This window comes from Homo sapiens, chromosome 15 (assembly GCF_000001405.40).
Source record: "Homo sapiens chromosome 15, GRCh38.p14 Primary Assembly".
NCBI classification, from domain to species: Eukaryota; Metazoa; Chordata; class Mammalia; order Primates; family Hominidae; genus Homo; species Homo sapiens.
Genome location: NC_000015.10, coordinates 89,546,214 through 89,548,701, shown reverse-complemented (window position 1 = coordinate 89,548,701; position 2,488 = coordinate 89,546,214).

Below are 2,488 nucleotides of genomic sequence, written 5' to 3'. Positions count from 1 at the left end.
GCCACTGTCTTTCCATTCCAGGGTCCTTGCCATTTGGCTTTACCCTCTGTGTGGTCACTAAGTGACTACTTCACCTCCAGCTTCATGTCTGTGCTCTAGACAGGAAGAAGGCAAAAGTAAGGAGGAAAGAGAAGAAGGAGGAAGTGGTGACACCTGTATTAAGAAACCAAAAAGTTGACCGGGTGCAGTAGCTCAAGCCTGCAACCCCAGCCTTTGGGAGGCCAAGGCGGAAGGATCACTTGAGCCCAGGAGTTTGAGACCAGCCTGGGCAACAAAGTGATATCCCCTCTCTACAAACAATAAAAAAATAGCCAGGCATTATGGCATGCACCTGTGGTCTCAGCTACCTGGGAGTCTGTGGCAAGAGTATCCCTTGAGCCCAAGAGGTCAAGGCTACAGTGAGCTGTGTTTGTGCCACGGCACTCCAGCCTAGGTGAGAGAGAGAGAGAGAGACCCTGTCTCAAAAATAAATAAATAGAAAAAGAAAAGAAAGCAAAAGCTGTCCCAGAAATTTCTAGAACATTTCTACTTAGCAGAACTATGTCACATGGCCATGTAGCTGCAAAGGAGTCTAGAAAGCTGAGTATTTTGTCTGGATACATTGTCATCTTTAAAAATATCAGGCTTCTGTTAGTAAGGAAACAAGAGAGAATGGATATATATATATTTTTGTTTAGAAACAGTGTCTCATTCTGTTGCCTGGGCTAAAGTGCAGTGGCATAATCATAGCTCACTTCAACCTCAAACTCCCGGGCTCAACTGACCCTCCTGCCTTAGCCTCCCAAGCTCCCAAGTAGCTGGGACAACAGGTGTGCATCACCACATCTGACTAATTTTTTGTATTTTTTTTGTAGAGATGGAGTCTTGCTATATTGCCCAGGCTGGTCTCAAACTCTTGGCCTGAAGCAATCCTCTCATCTTGGCCTACCAAAGTGCCAGGATTACAGGTGTGAGCCCCTGCACCCAGTCTCATTTAATCTTCACAACCTTTCAGGGGTGAGAAACTGAAGTTCAGAGAGGTCACATAACTTGTTCAAGGTCACTCGATAGTAAGTGGTAGGTTTGTTTGTTTGTTTGAGATGGAGTTTCCCCCTTGTTGCCCAGGCTGGAGTGCAATGGCACGATCTCAGCTCACTGCAACCTCCGCCTCCCAGATTCAAGCAATTCTCCTGCCTCAACCTCCCAGGTAGCTGGGATTACAGGCATGCACCACCATGCCTGGCTAATTTTGTATTTTTAGTAGAGACAGGGTTTCTCCATGTTGGTCAGGCTGGTCTTGAACTCCCAACCTCAGGTGATCCGCCCACCTTGGCCTCCCAAAGTGCTGGGATTACAGGCATGAGCCACCACACCCAGCCTAAGTGGTAGATTTTAAGTCAACTTTGTGTAACAAATTACTCATGCTACACCTTAAAATTATCTCAAACTCGGCCCGGCGCGGTGGCTTACGCCTGTAATCCCAGCACTTTGGGAGGCTGAGGCAGGTGGATCACGAGCTCAGAAGATCGAGACCATCCTGGCTAACACGGTGAAACCCCGTCTCTACTAAAAATACAAAAAATTAACCAGGCATGGTGGCGGGCGCCTGTAGTACCAGCTACTCGGGAGGCTGAGGCAGGAAAATTGCTTGAACCCGGGAGACGGAGCTTGCAGTGAGCAGAGATTGTGCCACTGCACTCCAGCCTGGGCGACAGAGCGAGACTCCGTCTCAAAAAAAAAAAAAAAATTATCTCAAACTCATCCGTGGGGAAGATACTTTGGTGGAGAACCATGACTCTGACAGTTTATTGTCTAGTAGGGGCAACAGACACAGACACAACTGATCATAACACAAAGCAGACAGAGGTGAGCACTTTAATGAAGGGACAAGGAACGTGCAGCAATGCCTCAAGGACAGGTGAGGTTTGAGCAGAGCTTTGAAGTATAGACAGGACTTGGGATTTTTGTAAGTTTCATTGTGGGAGGGTGTTCCAAGCAGAAAGAGCAGTATGGACAGAAGCAAGGAGATGGGAAGCTGAGTTGAGCAGAGGCATTCACATGAGGCAGAGTGGGAGATAAGGGTGGGAAGCTGTGCTATGGGTGTGTTGTGGTTCTGTAACTGCCCAGCTCAGGAGTCTGGGCTTTATCTTTATTCTCTGTAGGCTGGGAAAGATTTTGAAAGAGAAGATTTTGAATGAGGAGAGAACTGAAAGAATTGCATTTCGGTTTTCACTGGGGAGGAAAAATTGTGAAAGGAGAAGAAAAAGGGAAAGGCATGGATCCCAAAGATGTAGCCTTTGGAGGACAAATTTGTCAGCATTCCCCAAGTGCTGGCAGCCGAAGAAGACTCAAGCCTAGAAGCCCCACATTCACCCCAGCAGGCACCTGTGCAGACGCTGACTTTGGTTTGGAGCTGATGGAGGGTGGGAGAGGAAAGCCTTTTATCCAAGCCTCTGGGGAAGTAGGGGGAACAGAGCTGGGATGGTGTCCATAAAGCCAGGGCTGGGGA